The sequence below is a fragment of the Homo sapiens genome, chromosome X (assembly GCF_000001405.40).
Source record: "Homo sapiens chromosome X, GRCh38.p14 Primary Assembly".
Classification (NCBI taxonomy): domain Eukaryota; kingdom Metazoa; phylum Chordata; class Mammalia; order Primates; family Hominidae; genus Homo; species Homo sapiens.
The window spans coordinates 2,805,947-2,825,699 of NC_000023.11; the positions used below are offsets into that span (position 1 = coordinate 2,805,947).

The 19,753-nt window shown below is 42.8% G+C and overlaps 1 protein-coding gene across 6 annotated transcripts in view; it reads left to right on the plus strand.

Annotated features, from left to right (window-relative positions):
- XG (Xg glycoprotein (Xg blood group)) overlaps positions 1–10,554 on the plus strand; it is a 64,461-nt gene extending 53,907 nt beyond the window's left edge. For 3 of the 6 annotated variants that reach the window (XM_005274587.5, NM_001141919.2, XM_017029787.3), the window contains 4 exons: positions 755–799; positions 2,239–2,274; positions 5,390–5,506; positions 8,418–10,554. In XM_005274587.5, the coding sequence (XP_005274644.1) occupies positions 755–799; positions 2,239–2,274; positions 5,390–5,506; positions 8,418–8,434 (215 nt within the window). In that variant the 3' untranslated portion in view covers positions 8,435–10,554. The remainder of the gene's footprint in view (positions 1–754; positions 800–2,238; positions 2,275–5,389; positions 5,507–8,417) is intronic. The other 3 variants (NM_001141920.2, NM_175569.3, XM_011545575.4) reach the window with 2 other exon arrangements.

The following is a 19,753-nucleotide window of genomic DNA, read 5'->3' on the forward strand; positions in this document are numbered from 1 at the left end:
AGCACAAAGCATTAGTTTTAAAAATCTCAAATCTGTATTTTTAAAAATTGCTCTTAACACATTAGAAAAATATAGAAAAACTTTTTTTGCTGTTTTTCTGAGACAAAATCTCACTCTGTAGCCCAGCCTGGAGTGCAGGGACGTGATCATAGATCATTGCAGCCTCCACCTCCTGGGCTCAAGCAATCTTTTGCCTCAGTCGTCTCCCAAGTAGTAGCTGAGACTACAGGTGCACATCACCACACCCAGCTATTTTTTTTTTTTAAGTAGAAACGGGGTCTCACTATGTTTCTCAGGCTGGGCTCCAAATGAGCTCAAGTGGTCTTACCGCCTTAGCCTCCCAAAGTGGTAGGATTACAGGTGGGAGCCACCACACCCAACCTGGAGGAACTCTTTTTTTTTAAAATTTTAAATAAATTACTATTTGTGGCCTGCGTTTTCATCCTATTCTCTTTTTTTTTAACCAACATTTGCTGGCATTTTTTTTTATGCCGAAGAAAACACCTTTGCCCATCTATGTCAGGCCTCCAGACCCTCAGGGATGTACATCTAATGCACCTTCAGCCACCGGTGTAAACAGTAAACAGGGGCCAGATGGCGCCTGTGCACCTTCCCTGGCCTTGGGAGAGCATTGGAATCTCTGCAGCTTTTAAGAGCATCTTGCTTCAGGTTTGCTGACCTGCTTGCTTCTGTAAGATCATGCAGACTTCCTGAGCAATATCTAGCATTTCATGGTCTCTTTTCTATCCTGCAGGAAGAGGGGGCTATAGACTCAACTCTCGTTATGGAAATACTTATGGTAAAGGAATTATGTCTTACAGAATATGTGAGGCAAAACTGTCCATTTGCAAATAACTAACACACTGTCTGCACTGATGGGAAGCTGATGCTTTCATCCAGTGCACAACCAACTGGCCGTTCGAGTCTCTCATTTGCATTTTCCTTGGTCATCCATGCTGGGGGGAGATGTTGTGCATGCCCTGAGGACTTCATTTCTTCAAAGGAACTATGGCCCACTTACAGGTGTTACTGGGTGCATGTGTGTGCACGTGTGTGTGTATACATATGTGTTCACACACAGGTATGCTTGTGTGTATTGTGTGTGCATGCATGTGTACATGTGCATGTGGATTTTGTAATCATGTGCATAAGTGCATGTGGATTTCATGTGCATGTGTGCAAGTGTCTGTGCACACATGTGGATTGAGCACATGCATGTTTGTGTATGTGCACAGATGTGTTGGCATGTACTTGTGGATTTTGCATGTGTGCATGCTTGTGCTTGGGTTGCATGTGCATTGCATGTTTCCCATGTGTGTCCATTCACATGCATACATTTAGGGGTGTGCAAGCACATGTGTGCATGTGGATAGATGCAGGAGTGTGCATCTGGGTGTGCTCGTGTGGTATGTGCATACTGCACGAATATATCATGTGCATCTGTGCATGTGGATTGTGTGTATACATGCGTGTGTACAGGCATGCACACACACACATGAATGTGTTTGTGTGTGCATATTTGTGTGTACATGCATGTGTTTATGCATACAGGTGTAAACATGTGCACACATCGGTGTGTGCATGTGCACACATGTGTACATGTGTATGTTTAGGCGAATTGTGCTTTATATGTGCTTTTGTTGCCTGTGTGTGTGGTATGTGCATGTGTGTGTATGTGGGGATGTGTGGGATGTGCATGTGTGTGGATGTGCACATTGCATTGTGCTTCTGTGTTGCATTTGTATTTACATGTTGCACATGTGTGTAAATGCATGTGTGTGTGCACGTGTGTATGCGTGCTTGTCTGCCTGTGTGTTGCACGTTTGTTGCATGCTGCATGTGTGTATGCATGTGCACACACATTTGTGCATGTCAGTGTGTGTTGCATGTGCTTGTGTATGAATGGCGTGCGTGTGTGCATGTGTGTCCATGGGGTTGTCAGCCTGTGTGTGTTTTGCATGCGCATGTATGTAGACTCTCCAATCCTGAAATTAAAGCTGCATCTCCCTCTCCCTGGTATTATCCCCATTCTGCTAATGACCATTAGACATGGCATACACATTCACATTCCTCCTCCTTATGCTGCTTGGCTGTCCCCCTCCCCCCACAAGAATGTAAATTCCCTGAAAACAGGGATCTGTGTGCTGTGTTCACAGTCGCATCCTCAACAGTGCCCGGCAATATAAGGCCCTCCATAAGCTCTGCTGAATAAACACGAACATCCTTTTCCGCTTACAGGTGGAGATCACCATTCAACGTATGGCAATCCAGAAGGTAACTGATTGACTCACCCGGTCCCAACCTTTAATAAGAGCACACTCTCCTAGATCAGTGCTGGGAGGAGCTGTGTGGGCTTCTGTTTCCCAACCTCATGACTTTCACGGAGCACTCATACTTTGTATGTATATAAAGTAGCTCCTGAATAAAAATATCTGACCTTCAGCACAGGACCAATCAGAGTTCAGAGAAAGGAGAGGCAAGCATTGGTTTTCACTGCAGAAGATGCCCCTTAGCTCTCAAAGCAAGGCTGTGAATGAGTGCTGAGACTATTACATTTCTCCCAGTACCACCATTACTCCCCTTTCTTTGACCAGCACTAACTTGAAACCCAAGAAGGACAGGAGAAAGGAAGGTATGAACACTCTGCCCAAAGAAGCCATCAGAGTGCACTGTCAATCCCGTCTCAGGTCAAAGGAGGGAGAACTTGAAGCCCAGAAGGCTGACTTTGTGTCCTGTATTGTTGGGAGAACAGGTTCCCCATTCCCTAAGGGTCATATTCTTAGAGATTTGGGCTGACACCTGCTTGAGTTTAAGTTGAGAGTAAACGCACTCAACCCCAAGGCTCTTGTGAGTTTTCAATTATGGGGGAGGAGAAAGTGATTGAAGGTGACCTCTACCTTTCAATGATCATGCAGAGTACTAGTATCAATATTTTTGGGGTATGTTGGCATCCTTAGAAAAATTTATGGTTTCACCTTTTTCCCTCTGTGGTGTAAAGTGAGGTCCAGAGATGGAAAGGGCAAGGCAAATAAACAAGTAATTGCAGTCAAATCTGATGAATAATTTCCTGGAACATATGGGATCCTGTAGCAAGGCAGAAGGGATACTCCTAGACTAGGTTAGGTGAGGGAGGTAGGGTTTCCTGGAGAGAACAATATCCAAGCCAATCCCCCAAAATATGGGTGGGAGGTGCCCAGGAGAAGAGTGAGGTGTCAGGGAAGATGGTGCACTAGGTAGAGCTGGATACACACGTGGGGACACCGGAAATTGTGTAGCCAGGATGTGGAATGCAACGGGAACCAGGGAAGGATGCAATGGTGACCAGGAAAGACCTCCAGGTTAGCAGAGGTGGAGTCTGCACTTCATAGAACCTTCATGGGAAGGAGCCTGCCCCTGTTGATATGTAGGTGAAGAATGGACCTGAGGGGGCTCACTAAGACCCAGGGAGACACCCTTTCAGACCAGTTCAGTACTCCCTGGAAATGATGACAGGCTGAATTAAAGCCTGGGCAAAGGAGGCAAAGAGAAGCAGTCAGCTTGGATGACCACTTGGTAATGACAATTGATTGTACTTGATTGATTTGTAAGAGATGAGAGAGAGGAAAAGGTATGTATCAGTCAGCTATGCTGTGTCACAAAAAACCCCAAAACTTAGTAGCTGGAAATAACAACCATTTATTATGTTCGTGATTATGTGAGTCAGCAATTTGGGCTGACACCATTCTAGTGGTCCTCCTGGTCTCTTCTGAACTCCCTCTCTTGTGTGCAGTCAACTGTAGGTGTGGCCAGCGCTTTGACCATGTTTCCTGGGTCTTCTTATGTATCTGGGACTTTAGGTGGAATGGCTCATCTCAGCTTCATGTGGGCTCTCACATCCCTCCAGGAAGCCAGGCCAGGCTTCATCACATGGTGACCAGACAGGGTACCAAGAGCATGAAGAGAAGCGTGCCTGGGCTTAGAGCCACCATGCCTTCACTTGTGTGACATTCTGTTGGCTAAAGCCTGGATTTTCAGAATGAAGATGCAGCTCCACCTCTGGATGGGGAACACTGTGAAATCATACTGTGGAGCGTGTTCATGTAGGGAGGGGAAGAATAGAGGGCTGTCTCTCCCAGGAGGCAGGGTGTGGCGGGCGGCAGCATCAGCCGTAGAGCAGGTTCTTGCGTTCAGTGACAACACTCTTCCCCCCAGCATGGCAGCCTCATTCGTGGAGCAGTCTTGTGTCCCTCACCTATGCCATGCCATGTATTGGCCCAGGTGTTCAACCCTGTCTGAAGAAAGCCATGCATGGAAAGGGTGGCTATTTCAAATGGAAACGGTGATTTCTTCCTTTTTTCCCTTTGGAAGTGTTGATTTTTGTCACATCAAGCTCCTTCTTGTTCTTTGTGCAGGAGTGCCAAAGCTCTGGAGCAATTTGCCATCGAGGCATTGAGGATGCTTGTGTCTAGTGTGTGCTTGGGTCTAGAGTTCCAGCATGCCTTTGAAAGCAAGCCTATCTGGCAGTTTTTAGTGGAACAATATTTTTGCATGAGTGGGCATTCTACATCTAAAAAGGCACAAAATAGTTTTGACATGTGCCTGTCATCCCAACTACTCAGGAGGCGGAGGCAGGAGGATCACTTGAGCCCAGGAGTTCAGGACGAGCTTAGGCGGCATAGTGAGACCCCATCTCTAAAAAAATAAATCAGGCCAGGCGCGGTGGCTCCCCTCTGTAATCCCAACACTTTGGGAGGCTGAGGCGAGTGGATCACCTGAGGTCAAGAGTTCGAGACCAGCCTGGCCAACATGGTGAAACCCCATCTCTACTAAAAATGCAAAAATTAGTTGGGCATGGTGGCATACACCTGTAGTCCCAGCTATTCGGGAGGCTGAGGCAGGAGAATCGCTTGAACCCGGGAGAAGGAGGTTGCAGTGAACTGAGATCACGCCACTGTATTCCAGACTGGGCGACAGAGCAACATTCCGTCTCAAAAAATAATAAGAAATAAATAAATAAATAAATAAATAAAATTAATTAAAAGGCATACATGAATTGACTTCAACAAACAAACAAAAATGCCAAGTGCCTCGTCTGTGCAAATCCTGGCCTTGGATGTCTTCAGTGGTAAAATGTGGTTGACAAGCTTGGCTCTTTGTGAAAACAGAATTACTTCCTAAGGTTTTTTTTTCTTTTTTTTTAAATTAAGTTTCTCTTTTTTTTCTGTGAATACAAGGGTGGGAAGGGACGTGATGGAGAAGTTACTAGATAGATGCAAAAGTTATTGCAGTTTTTGTCATTACTTTCAATGGCAAAAACCGCAATAACTTTTGGACCAACCTAATATTTAAGCAGTTTTCCTGCAGCCATGTTTTTTTCTCGGATGAGCTTGCTTTTTCTCCACTCCTGCAGGCAATATGGTAGCAAAAATCGTGTCTCCCATCGTATCCGTGGTGGTGGTGACACTGCTGGGAGCAGCAGCCAGTTATTTCAAACTAAACAATAGGAGAAATTGTTTCAGGACCCATGGTAAGTTTGGCTCTAAACATTGTTTTGCTTGTTACTAAGCCTGATTTAAAAAAAAAAATTACTTTCAGATGTCTGTCACTAGCAAGGTTATTTCTGGTTAAGTTCAATATACATAACTTGCCTAATAATGTGATTTTTTAAAATTTATTTTTATTCTTTTTGAGACAGAGTTACACTGTGTTGCCCAGGCTGGACTGCAGTGGCAGGACCTCGGCTCACTGCAACCTCTACCTCCTGGGTTCAAGAGATTCTCTTGCCTCAGCCTCCCGAACAGCTGGGACTACAGGCATGCACCACCACGCCTGGCTAATTTTTGTATTTTTAGTAGAGATGGGGTTTCACCATGTTGGCCAGGCTGGTCTTGAACTCCTGACCTCAAGTGAGCTGCCCGCCTTGGCCTCCCAAAGTTCTGAGATTACAGGCGTGAGCCACCGTGCCTGGCCAACAATTGGGTTTTCATGGTCAGGTGTGAGCTGTACCTTCCTCTAAACCTTGTTACAATGAGGCTGGCACATTATCTGTCTAATGTAAAAGAGGAGGAGAAAAAAAGGAAAGAAAAAGAAACAAACAAACAAAAATTACCAACCTACATTGCAAGACTATAAGCATGACGGTTGGTTTAACTACCTGTTCTGTTTTGTATTCAGTGAAATTTTCGTCACAGGCGAGTCAGGAAAAATACCTGGGTTGAATGTGAATGTTTTGCCCAGAACCCCACCCGCAAAGAAAACTACCGAAACACTGAATTATAAGCCTCTCTGAAATTCCGAAGGTGCGCTCAGACCATAGGGGAGAGGAAAGATCTGCTGTGGCTTCCTGGTTCAATGCCGGCTCCACACTCCTGGGTTTGAAGAATCACTTGGGATTTGAGAGCAGAGGATGCCCTAAAGAAATCTCTGAAACAACAGTCAGGGATTGTTTTATAGCCTAAAGAGTGACTCAGATCTTTAACTGGGTGTCTCTGGAGGCTTGGTTTAAACCTCAGGCCACCCACGTCAGAATCTGTCTGGAGTTTGCCCAGGGCCCTCTAACTCATACCTTCTTTGTGTCCCCGAAGGAAACCAGAAAGGGGTGCCCATTCCTACGGTGTTTGCTTTAGGATTTGCATTTGGCCTCAAAAATCCTAAAACCTTCCCATGCGCTCCCTCTGCTGGTGAATGGGCAGTATCAACCGTTAGCTAATGAACCTCCGTTTGGGGTGAGCCTCCGTCTACATTACGCCCCGTCCTGAAATTTTAGGAGGAAACTGAGTTTCTGAAAAACTGCCTTATTTTCCTGGCAACCTGAGAGCAGATTCTTGGGTTCAGTGACAACACTCTTTCACCCAACATGGCAGCCATCATTAACGAACACCACGTGTTAACTTCAGTAGCTTTTGTGGCAGTGATTTGTAAGCCTTTGTTAACCAAGGGCTGAAACTGAGTAAGCAGAGAGAGGCACCCATCTCCACAAGCACAAAATGTAAGGGCGGGGTACAGGGGTCCCCCACAAACTCAATAATCAAGGCAAATATATTTTAGTGCAATATTTTAGAAGGAAAATCATTGGAATGGGGGCCAGTTGAGTTTCTGAAATAGGTGTAGTTTTAAAAACGTGGATGATGCCTGCCCCATTTATCTGAGGTGGAAGGAAGCACGTTTTTGCTAAAGAGGTATAATGTCTTGAAGCTCTTTCATGCCTTTTGGCTGCCTGGTAAGTATTTTTGTCTACTTTCTCCATTGTACTTCGATGATACCCTCACCAGGTATTCCCAAGCACCAAGTTTATCTTCCCCTCCCTTAAAGTTCCTGAGATCAGAAAGGAGGATGTAGACAGAGTGAGCTGATGTTAGGGAGATCTCTTCAAGGGTGAGCAGTGACATTTATGTGGATCCTGGGCCTATATCACCTCGCTGGCTGTAAAGCCTTTATACTATCTAGGAAATATGTGCATGACAGCAAATACGTATGGGTTTGGTATCAAATGGGGCTCAGAGCTCTGCGAACTTGACTCTAAAGTTCCAGGCTGCTGCTAATGGTACCCAGCTGTCCACCTCTCCTTAGTTAGGTCATTAATTTTCTCTGTCTCCTAAAGGATGACGTACATGGTATACTAACCATATCCATGGTGATGTGGTGCAGTGCACAACCTGTGGAACTGTGTACCTGCTGAGGCCATACACTGAAGCTTGCACACTTTGTAGAGAAAGAGTTGTAGTAACAGAGCTACACAGATAGAAGCAGATGTCTGTCACTTGATGTGGACTTTTAAGAATCATACTTTGCTTTTATTTTATAAAGTGGAGCAAATGACAACATCACTTCAGAAGTTATAAAGACCAACAAGGCCATATTCGAAAAAAGAAGTTCCTACAAATATTAGTTTTAACCAAAAAGGAAGTTACTCAATTCATTTAAGATCATCAAAATCCTTAACAAATGGCAAAATGTCAAAAACAATGTTTTCAAAACGAATATTTGTTTCCAGATATGATTTTAACAGTTTTTAAATATTTTCTATTTTTAATTTTTCCTGCTTTATTGAGGTATAGTTGACAAATAAACATTGTATATATTTAAGATGTACAACTTCATTTCTGCATCATTTATTTGTTCTAATCTATCTCCTTCTGCCGAATGTAAAGCAGGTGTCATGTAGACAGCACATAGTCTGATCTTGGTTTTCTTTTTTTTAAAATAGATTTTTCATTCTTCTAGCTTTATTAAAGTATGATAGACAAACATTGTATATATTTAAGATGTGCAACTTCATTTCTGCTTCATTTTTTTCTGTTCTAATCTTCCTTCTCCTAAATCTAGAGCAAGAGTCTCTTGTAACAGCATAGAATTGGATCTTGGTTTTCTTTTTCTCTGTTTAATAAGACTTTTTTTTTTGCCCCCACAATGACATTTGTTTCTAATCTTCCTTTCAGAACCAGAAAATGTCTGAAGATGTTAAGATCCCCTGATTACTTTGAGAAAAACAACTAAAACAAGAACCGTGTTTATCACTGTTGTGGAGATTTCCTTTTATTCTTGACACAATTTGATGACCTAAAGTGTGTTTTCTTCTGTGTAAAGTACATGAGCTGCCTCACTAAGCATTCCCAACTCATTGAATGTGATGTGGTTATAAAGATAAGTTAGGCAGCTAGACCCTGCGTTCTAAAAAAGGATTGCTTGCAATGTTGGTTTGGCTATTCATTTGCACAAAGAGACTGTGGCTCTCTGTTGTGAGATCTTCAGCTACCTCATGGTGCAATAACACACACACGCTTAACCATGTTGATGGCACAAAGCGGTGAGCAGTAGGGAGGTAGAATATCTTGGTGGGGAGGGGATGTTATCAGCTTCTGGGAGATGAAGAATATTGTTGAGGTTCCAAAGATGCTGGACCTGTGCTAAATTCTTCAGTGATATGAAAAAATCATTGAGCATTCATTATTGCGAATGAAGTGGGGATGCATTATTTCTGACACCCACAAGCAGGGTTTGATCATCCTTTCAGCTTTGAGATATCTGCACATAAAATTATTATTACCTGAAGAAAATAAGGCTGCATTTTGAAATGTTAAGTGCAAAATGACTGATGTTAAAACCATCTGGGGGAAATCTTGGGATGCTTTTTCCTAGGAAATCATATGGTTGTGATATGTTTTGGCGCATAGGAGACAGAAATAGTGATTATCAGGCGTTGAGCCTTTTTGTAGTATTTTTAGTCTTTGATACTCTGTAAGTGCTAGTTCCTAAGGCACCAACATTGCATTCCTTGGTTTATACTTTTTCTATTCATCAGGGTAGGAAGTCTTAAATCCTTAGGCATCCAAGAAGTATACTAGCTTTTTGCTTCTCTTTTAGAAATACTTGTGGGGAGAGAAAAAAGGATGGTTTGGGCATATTGGTATAGTTTGAGTAAACTAAGGTTAATGTTCATATAACATTTAGACTTTGCCATAAATATCAGAACCAAAGATCAAGACATTCATGTACAGTCTGGAATGTATATATGGGGCCCATAAAAATTCCCAGTATGCATGTTTTATGCTCACCATTATGAATTGGGGTCTTCAAAGAGAGAAGGTTGAAAGTGGAAAGCACTTGAAAGGGCTCCCCGGTTTGTAAAATATCTTTAATCATTCACATTAGGTACCTCGGAGTTGCGGGTCTCAAATGTGGATTCATGCATCATTTGTGCAGTTTGAAGATAGTCCATATTTCCTATTTCAGTATTAGGTCCTGCAACACTTTTCAATTCTTGTAGAAGGTTTTTTTCAGGAGTGGTGATGTCTGATGCTCAATTACTATTTTCCCTATAAGAGTTTCAGCATGAGCTTAATTAAATTCTTGTGAAAAAACCTGTGTTTTTAGTTACACACACACACACACACACACCTACTTAAATGGAATCTAAACATTTTTAGCCTTTAATCCATTCCATTTTCTAAAACTGTCATAAACTATTTTTAATCATTTTAAATAAATGTAAAAGAAAAATAACTGGATTTGATTATTGAATAGTTTTTTTCTATATTTCACAAATAAATTGTATGAAATGACTGTAGAAGTGGCCCCAAAATTATGAACCTTCGTAGCTGTGAATATGATGCCATAAATCTCTTTTAAAGCTCAAGATAGACTATGAACATATGAAATACATAGTTACCTAATCATGAGACTAAATTCACCTGGGTGACAAGGCTAACGTTCAAGCTACTTAAGATGAAAATATTTGAATCATGATTGCTTGGGGGAACCTCTCTTTGAGGGGTCATGAGGACCACCTGCTGGGCATTCTGTTTTCATGCTGAGAAGGTGAGAATTGAACAGATGAGAAAAGCCTTGATAAAACGTCATCTCCATGTAATTTAGAGAAGGATAACCTTGACTGTACAGCTGACCCTTGAACAACACAGGGCTGAACTGCACATGTCCACCTGTATGTGAGTTTGCTTCTGGCTCTGCCATTACTGAGACAGCAGGACCAACCCTCCATCTACTCAATGGGAAGATGATAAGGATGAAGACCTTTATGGTGATCCGCTTCCACTTAATAAATAGTAAATTCATTAATTTTATCTTCCTTATGATTTTCTTCATAACATTTTCTTTCCTCTAGCTTACTTTATTGTAATAATATGGTATGTAATACATATACAAAATACGTGTTCAACTGTTACCAGTAAGGCTTTCAGTCAACCAGTATGCTATGAGTAGTTAAGTTTTTGGAGAGTCAATTCATACAGCCCTTGATTTTTTTTTTTTTTTCAATTAAGTTCATTTAGATGGTCAGAAATGTCAGTTAAGCGTCATTTGAAGGTAATAACTAACCTTGAAAAACTAGTGGCTTGGGTATAGTTTTCCAAAAAGTTAGGCTGGGCGTAGTGGCTCACACCTGTAATCCCAGCACTTTGGGAGGCCTAGGTGAGGGGATTGCTTGAGCCTAGGAGTTCAAGACCAGGCTGGGCAACATAGTGAGACCCCCATCTCTAGTAACGATTTAAAAATTAGCTGGGCGTCGTAGTGCACACCTGTAGTCCCAGCTACGTGGGAGGATCACTTGAACACAGAAATTCAAGACCATAGTGAGCTGCGATAGCACCACTGCACTCCAGCTTGGGCAACAGAGTGAGACTCTCAAAGAAAGAAGGAAGGAAGGAAGGGAGGGAGGGAGAGAGGGAGGAAGGAAGGAAGAAAGGAAGGAAGGAAGGAGAGACAGAGAAGGAGGGAGGGAGGAAGGGAAGGAAGGAAGGAAGGAAGGAAGGAAGGAAGGAAATAAATTTGATTCTTTTCGCCCATAAATTTGTGATGAAGCACCAGTTTTGGAAAGCTTCCCTGCTTTGGTAGAAATAGCAGATGGCAAGATTCTGATATCTTCTACTATGAAGTTCAAAGCAGTCAGAAGTGGGCAGCTTGGTTTTTCTGAAATTTATCATTCTGACATCGGACTGAGACCTAGAGGAGATTTTTTAATGCCATCTGACAGATCTAAAATACATCTTCTAAGAGTACTATGCAAAAGTGGCAGCTGTCCTGTTTGCTTGGCTTCATTGATCCAAACCACAGGGTTGACAATTTTCCTTCACATGGATACAGTGAGGGATTCTGCAGTTATATGAGGCATTTGAGTCAAGGTGATACTTGCTTCTTGATTCCACAGATGCCACTTTTTGCCTTTGAGGACTTGCTAAAGAGTTCAGACTTTTCCTACTGTATGTTTTCTGTGCAGAAGTCATGTTGTGTGGTGAGGACCATGGATTTTATTTCATTTCTTAACCTTTCTATGCAAATGAGACCTTGAGGCTGCAGAGAACAAAATTATTGGGATGCACAAATCCAAATGGAAATAGGCTCAGTTTAGCTAAGGAGGACACTTGTGTTATCTTGTGATTCTAATGACGTTCAAGCTTTAATCACAACATTTTCGTGCAAAAGGAAAAATACATATATTATATACGTGTGTGTGTATCTCCTGTAAAATAAAAACAATATATTGTATTAAGGAGGCCTTGCAGCTGTTGTCCTTATAGCTTCAGAAATTTTATTTTTTTCAATATATTATTCTTAGGTCTGTAGTATGAAAGTTCTTTTAAAATAAACTGTACAACAATTTCACAAAATATTCAAAATAAAAAAGAGGGAGTGTTTGGATATTAATTGTCACTAAATTTAATAATTAAAATACTAAAAATTTTACAAAGGGGTGACCACACTAAAATTCATATATCCCCAAAGATCTCTTAAAAATTAGATTTTTCAGGCTGGGTGCAGTGGCTCATGTCTGTAATCCCAGCACTTTGGGAGGCCAAGATGGGGGGATCACTTGAGGCCAGAGGTTGGAGACCAGCCTGGGCAACAGAGCAAGACCCCATCTGTACAAAAATTTTGTAAAAATTAGCTGGATGCAGTGGTGTGTGCCTGTAGTTATAGCTACTTAGGAGGTTGAGGCAGGAAGATCACTTGAGCCCAGGAGTTCAAGGCTGTAGTGAGTTATGATTGTGCCACTGCATTCCAGCCTGAGGAACAGAGTGAGAGCTTGTCTCTAAAAAAGAAAAAAAATAGATATTTTGAACATTGCAAAAGCCTACAATCTTTTTAATATTGATTACTTTAGTTAAATTCTTCTCCATTTAATGTGATTTTAGAAGTAATCCTTTTACATCTGGAAAATGGAGAATAATTTATTATTTCACCCAGAGAATGATAAATCAATCAATCAAAATATAGCAATCTAGAAAGCTAATAAATAATGTTCTAATTAGGGAGACCTACTGCCAGTAGGAGTAATAGATAATAACAATACTATTTGCTGAATCATTTTATTTTAGTAGAAAAATAAGCTTTCAAAGTAATTTATTTACTTATTTATTTATTTTTGAGATGGAGGCTCACTCTGTCGCCCAGGCTGGAGTGCAGTGGCACGACCTCGGCTCACTGCAACCTCCGCCTCCCGGGTTCAGGCGATTCTCCCTGCCTCAGCCTCCTGAGCAGCTGGGATTACAGGCACCCACCATCATGCCCAGCTAATTTTTGTATTTTTAGTAGAGACGGGGTTTTGCCATGTTGGCCAGGCTGGTCTTGAACTCCTGACCTCAGGTGATCTGCCCGCCTCAGCCTCCCAAAGTGCTGGGATTACAGGCGTGAGCCACTGCGCCCAGCCTTTTAAAATAATTTACATACTTTACACATGTACACATAAAAATGGATGTTGGTTGGATGTGGTGGCTCATACCTGTAATCCCAGCACTTTGGGAGGTCGAGGTGGGTGGATCACTTGAGCACTTGAGCCTTGGAGTTTGAGACCAAGCTTGGCGACATATCGAGACTCTGTCTCTACAAAAAAATTAAAAAATTAGCTGGGCGTGGTAGTACATGCCTATGGTCCTAGCTACTTCGGAGGCTGAGACAGGAGAATTGCTTGAGCCTGGGAGGTTGAAGCAGCAGTGAGCTCTGATTGCACAATTGCACTGAAGCCCAGGTGACAGAGCAAGACCCTGTCAAAAAAAAAGGATGTCAGTGATAATGAGTTGTTTATAAAGATAGAATTAGAGTTCCAGGGATGACTGGAGAGGTATAGTGTATTATAACCCCTACCATGTGCCCGTCAGGGACTGGTACTTAAAAGTCAAAACAGTAACTGCAGAATTTGAGAGGTGTACAAAGATAGTCTCTCAAATAGTGCTCAGTTATTAGTTCAGCGATGGTCAGTTTGTGCATAGCTATGAAACTAGCTTATCACGGTAAAAAGTGTGTACGCTTCACTATCTTGTAGCATTTAGTTTCCCAGCAGGGCCATGCGACACCCAGTGGACATTTCTAAATTGTACATTCAAAAAAATGTTACCACTGGCTGCAACATTTTTTTCATTAAACATAAAAGTTGGTCTTGGGGGTGTCATTCAATGCCTTTTCTGCTTCCTTCAGAATTCTAAAGGCTTCCACCACAACTTTGATCTGAGCCCAGTTATGAACTTCATACAAAGCTGCAGGGAGGAGCCTGTGTCTGTTGAAGAAAGGCTCACAAGATCCCATGGTAAGGGGAGAGGAGAAGGGGTAATGAGGAAGAAAGGCAGCTTTCCAGGGGCCGAGTCCGGAAGACCAGACTTGTCAGAGAATGGAACTAGCTTGTCCAGTCTCAGCCCATGAGAGAGTTTCACGCCACGTGCTATTCTGGTTCTGAACATTGAGCACTTGGGTGACTTGGAATGGCCTCCATCTAAGCTGCATCTTCCCCCATAGTTCCAAATATAAATGCAATGCATTCCCTGGGTTCCTGCCAGCCATTGTCACGTTTTTGCTTCACAGCTGTCTCCTCCCTGCTCCCCGTCCTATTCATCTGCCCCTTGCTAGACAGGTATTCATGAAACATGACTGCTTGTTTATGAATAGCTGGGATGTAGACATGACATACGGAAAGAGAAGCTGCCAATTTTTCCCCAACCAAAAGTGAAAACAGTGCTTGGACCTAACAAGCATAGAATGTTTGATCCCATAGCAGAGCTGGTGGGAAGGCTGGGGGCAAAATCTGACACTGTCCACCATTGGCTGTAGACCAAAGGGAGGCTGCAGACCAAAGGGAGGCCGCAGGGAGGTGAGATCATTTCAATCGCAGGTCCCCACCCACTACGAGCACTTCCTCACCCACATCCTCTGTTCTAATCTTTTCTGTCTATCTCTTATCAACTTCCAACATATGATAACGTATCACCTTTTATTGTTTCTCTCCCGGCTCCATCCCCACTAGAATGCAACTGCTACAAAGGCATGGATTTGTCCCCAGTTTCCAGAAACATGACTGGCATGTAGTAGATGCTCATTAAAGACTTATTTATTTATTTATTGAGACAATGTCTTGCTCTGCCGCCCAGGCTGGAGCGCTGCAGTGTGATCCTGGTTCACTGCAGCCTCAAACTCCTGGGCTCCAACGATCTTGTCACCTCAGCTTCCTGTGTAGCTGGCACAACAGGCATGTCCTACCATGCCTGGCTAATTTATTTATTGTTTTTGTAGAGACGGGGTCTCACTGTGCTTCCCAGGCTGGTCTCGAACTCCTGGGCTCTAGTGATTTTCCCACCTTGGCCTCCCAAATTGCTGGGATTACAGACTTGAGCCACCACGCCTGGCCCTAAAGACTTATTAAACACACGGGAAAATGAATGAATGAAGCCCTCGTTCAGGCCACAACTTTAATAATATTAAAGAGGAGATATTTTCTTTTGGTATTCTAGCTAAAGACTTTTGGGATGAGATGGATAGGGATATTAACAAATGTGTGTGTTTTTAAAAAATATACATATTATGAAATAAAACATCTGGAAGACCTCCATAACTCAATGAACCAATATTCTACAAATGACCCATGTGTGAAGTGGCAGAATCATGAATGGATAAAAGGTTTGTCTGAAGCTTAAGATAAACCTGTGGGTTTTAAATGTGTAGACTTTAAAAATTCAGTGATAGGATTTCAGATTCCACACTACCTTATCTTTGAGAAGCTATTGATGATCAAGTTTTGTCATCAAAGGAGAACATTCACAGTTATTTGAAAAGATTACTAAAATACTTTTTCTAACTATGTATCTTTGTGAGGCTAGATTTTCTTCATCTACTTTAACCTGAACAACATAAGGAATGCTGATCTGAGAAACTGGTTGTCTCCTCATAAGTCAGATATTAACAAGATTTGTAAACATGTAAAACAGTACACTCTTCCCCTATGAAAATTTTTCTGTTTGAAAAAATATATCCCATTTTTCATAAAATTATGTTATTTATGTAAAATGTAGTGGATTTATCTTTAAAATTATTAAATAGTCAAAAACTTCATTTTAATTTTAGAAAATATAGAAATATTAATTTTAATTTATTACAGCGTTAAATTTAATGCAATATAATTTAATTACAGAACATGTAGACATTTACAATGCACAAAAACAAAAGTTCCTCTAGGCCCTTAATCATTGTTAAGAGGGCAAAAGAGGCAGGGCGCGACGGCTCATGCCTGTAATCCCAGCACTTTGTGAGGCCGAGGCGGGCGGATCACCTGAAGTCAGGAGTTCGAGACCAGCCTGGCCAACATGGTGAAAACCCGTCTCTACTAAAAATACAAAAATTAGCCGTGTGTGGTGGCACGTGCCTGTAGTCCCAGCTACTCGGGAGGCTGAGATAGGAAAATTGCTTGAACCCGGGAGGTGGAGGCTGCAGTGAGCTGAGATCACGCCACTACACTCCAGCCTGGGCAAGACAGAGAGAGACTCTGTCTCAAAACAAAACAAAAAAAGAAGGCAAAGGAATCCTGTGACCAACATGTTTCACAATTTCTGCTTGATGTTATAAATGATGGCACTTTCCCCCGGAAATCTCTGCAGTTTTATCAGTCTCCCTCCCTGTCTGACCACCTCAATCCTTTTCTATCTCTGCTGACTCAAAATGGTTGAAGCAATAAAGACAGCATCTGTAACAAGATGTACTTAGATTCAGGACCTCTGGGCTGGGTCAGTTTGAGGGCTTAACAATGTCCTCCAGTAGCCAGGTTCTCTGTGTCTTGCAGTCCTGTGTTTCATAAGTCATCGGCCCATTTCACTCATGGCAGAAGATGGCTGCTGTACCTCCAGCCATCACAGCCTCATCTACTAATATCTGGAGGCCCAATTAGGATCATTTCCTCCCAGATTTTCTCTTTTAAGAGCAAAGACATTCTTTCAGGGATCAAGCCCAATTCCTCATCCCTGATTTACACACAGCCCCTAACTAAAAGTAATCAGGTGTAGGCCAGGCATGGCAGCTCACACTTGTAATTCCAACACTTTGAGAGGCTGAGTCAGGAGGATCACCTAAGGTCAGGAGTTCAAGACCAACCTGGCCAACATGGTGAAACCTCGTCTCTACTAAAAATACAAAATTAGCCAGGCATGGTGGTGGGCGCCTGTAATCCCAGCTACTTGGGAGGCTGAGGCAGGAGAATCGCTTGAACCTGGGAGGTGGAGGTTGCAGTGAGCCAAGATCGTGCCATTTCACTCCAGCCTGGGCAACAGAGTGAGACTCCCTCTCAAAAAAAAAAAAAAAAAAAAAAAGCCTGAGAAAGCATGAAGGAACCCTGGGAAAAAATACAGGCTCCACCAACAATAAGGAAAAATGATGGTTGACTGGGTAGCCAGTAGCATGTGCTGCAAATCATTTGCTTATTTTGTGTCAAGTTGTTTGCCAATGTAGCTCTTTATATATTATATATTATTATGTTACTCTTTACCAAAATATAAAATATTGAGATGTAATTGTAGTTGTGACCCACACACATACATGTAAATGCATGTATTGCAAATGTGTTCTCTCATTCTGTATTTGTCTTCAATTCTTAGAACCTTTGTCACAATCATGTCGTGCAATCAAGTAGCTTGGCACAAACATCTGTTCTGTGCCTTCTGAGTTTGATTTTTTGTTGTTGTTGTTTGAGACAGAGTCTTGCTCTGTCACCCAGGCTGGAGTGCCGATCATGGCTCACTGCAGCCTTGAACTCGCAGGCTCAAGCAATCCTCCCACCTTAGCCTCCTGAGTAGCTGGGACTACAGGCGTGTGCCAACACTCTCAGCTAATTTTTTTATTTTTATTTTTTGTAAAGATGAGGGGAATCTCACTATATTGGCCAGGCCGGTCTTGAATTCCTGAGCTGAGGCGATCCTCCCACTTTAGCCTCCTGAGTAGCTGGGACAACAGGCGTGTGCCAACACTCTCGGCTAATTTTTTAAAAATTTTTTGTAAAGTCAGAGGGATCTCACTATATTGGCCAGGCTGTTCTTGAACTCCTGAGCTCACGTGATCCTCCTGCCTTTACCTCCCAAAGTGCTGGGATGGCAGGCATGAGCCACCATGCCCAGCTGCCTGCCGGGTTTCAATCCTTCCTTTCCCAGCACACATGTAATTTTAAAAAGGTCTTGTAACTAACTCTCCAATAAAGTTGTCCCAGGCATATAAATGTCTTGACGTTTTCTTCAAATGCCTCCCTAGGAAAATTGGCACACACCTATTCCCGGCAACAGGGAGGAGAGAAAGGTTTACTCTGAATGCACCCATGACAAAGCTTACCTGCTGCCAAGCTCTCCATGGCTTCCTGGAGACCAACACACACAGGAACAGAAGCCCGGCAACCCCCGGGGGAAGATGCCTCCTCCGGGTTTAAAAACAGAGCTACCCTTTTGCCCGGGGATCATGAGGGTTGCCTTGTGACTTAGTGCCTTATACTCTGCTTTCGGAGCACCAATTCTCAGTGGAACGGGAGAAACAGGCGGGTGAGGAGGGGTGGGGTGATTTATGGGGCAGAGAATGGTGCAACACCTACCCTTGTTTGTGTTGGGAGACCGAGGCCTCCTCCATGCCCTAAACATGCTGTTTAAACATCCCTGCAATTTCGCCAACGTCTCTTTCTCTCTGGCTGCCTCAACCCTTTTCTATCTCTGCCAAATCCATGCTCCACTGTCTCCGGCCCTCCTGGCTCCAGCTACCCCTCCCCAACACCCTCAAATCTCAGAAATGCAAGCAGTGCCTCTCAAGCCTGCGCATTAGGAACTCCTGGAGGCCTGGTTCACATAGCGGGGTTGGAGGAAGCCCCGAGACGCAGGGTTCTGATTTCAGAGTTCGGATGCCTAAGAATGTGCATGACACAGTTTCCCAGGTGACGCTGATGCTGCCGGACTAGGACTGAGCCTGCACATCTCACCCTGAATTCAAAATCAAAAGATGGGGTGAGGGTTCTCGGCAAAACGCAGCCTGAGATTCTATTTTGGAGACCCCTGTTCCAGAGAGAAGAGCAGTGCTCCTGACACTTGGTGGGTGGGGCCCAGGGACGCTGCTCAACACCCTGCAGTGCACAGGACGCCCCCCACAGTCATTCAACTTAAATGTTATTAGTGATAAAGTTGAGAAAGACTCTATCTATTGTCTATCTATGTATCCATCTATCCACCCATTCATCTATCATCATTTATCTATTACCTATGTATCATTTATCTATTATGTCTATACATCTAGCCATCCATCATCCATCATCATTATTTATTATCTATCATTTATCTAATATCTGTCTTCCTGTCTATCTTCATCATCATCATCATCATCATCATCAATCTCTTATCTATTTATCATCTATCTCCATATATGTATGTATCTATGTATCTCTATATCTATGTATCATCTATTTATCACCTATCTATCTCTCTATCCTATCTATCATCTATCTGTCCATTCATCCTATCTCATCTATCATCTACCTATGTATCATCTATCATGCATCTACTGATCTATTTATCTATCCATTATCTATCTATTTATTTATCATCTATCTAAACAGTGGCTTACAGCCTAAGAATGATTCTGCCCCTGCTCCTACCAGGGGACACTGTGCAATGTTTGAGGTCAGTTTTAATTGTCACTACTGGAAAGTGTGCCAATGGCACCCGGCAGATGGAGCCCAGGGATACTGCTCAACACCCTACAGTGCACAGGATGGGCCCACCTCAGAGAATCCAGCCCTGAATGCCACAAACGCCTTGGTGAAAAACTCCAGTAGTAACTTCCATCTAACCTTGGGAAAGGGATCAGGTTGACAGTCACATCATTCTGAACAGTCCAGGAGGCAGGAGCTGTCTGAGTCTTTTGTAAATGCCCCTCTTGTTAGAACACTCATAAGACCCTTTCCCGTAGGAGGATCCTCCCTTACCCAGAGCAAGAGCACAGCACTCCACGGTTTCCCTGCTGGAGCAATGAGAAGCCAACACAG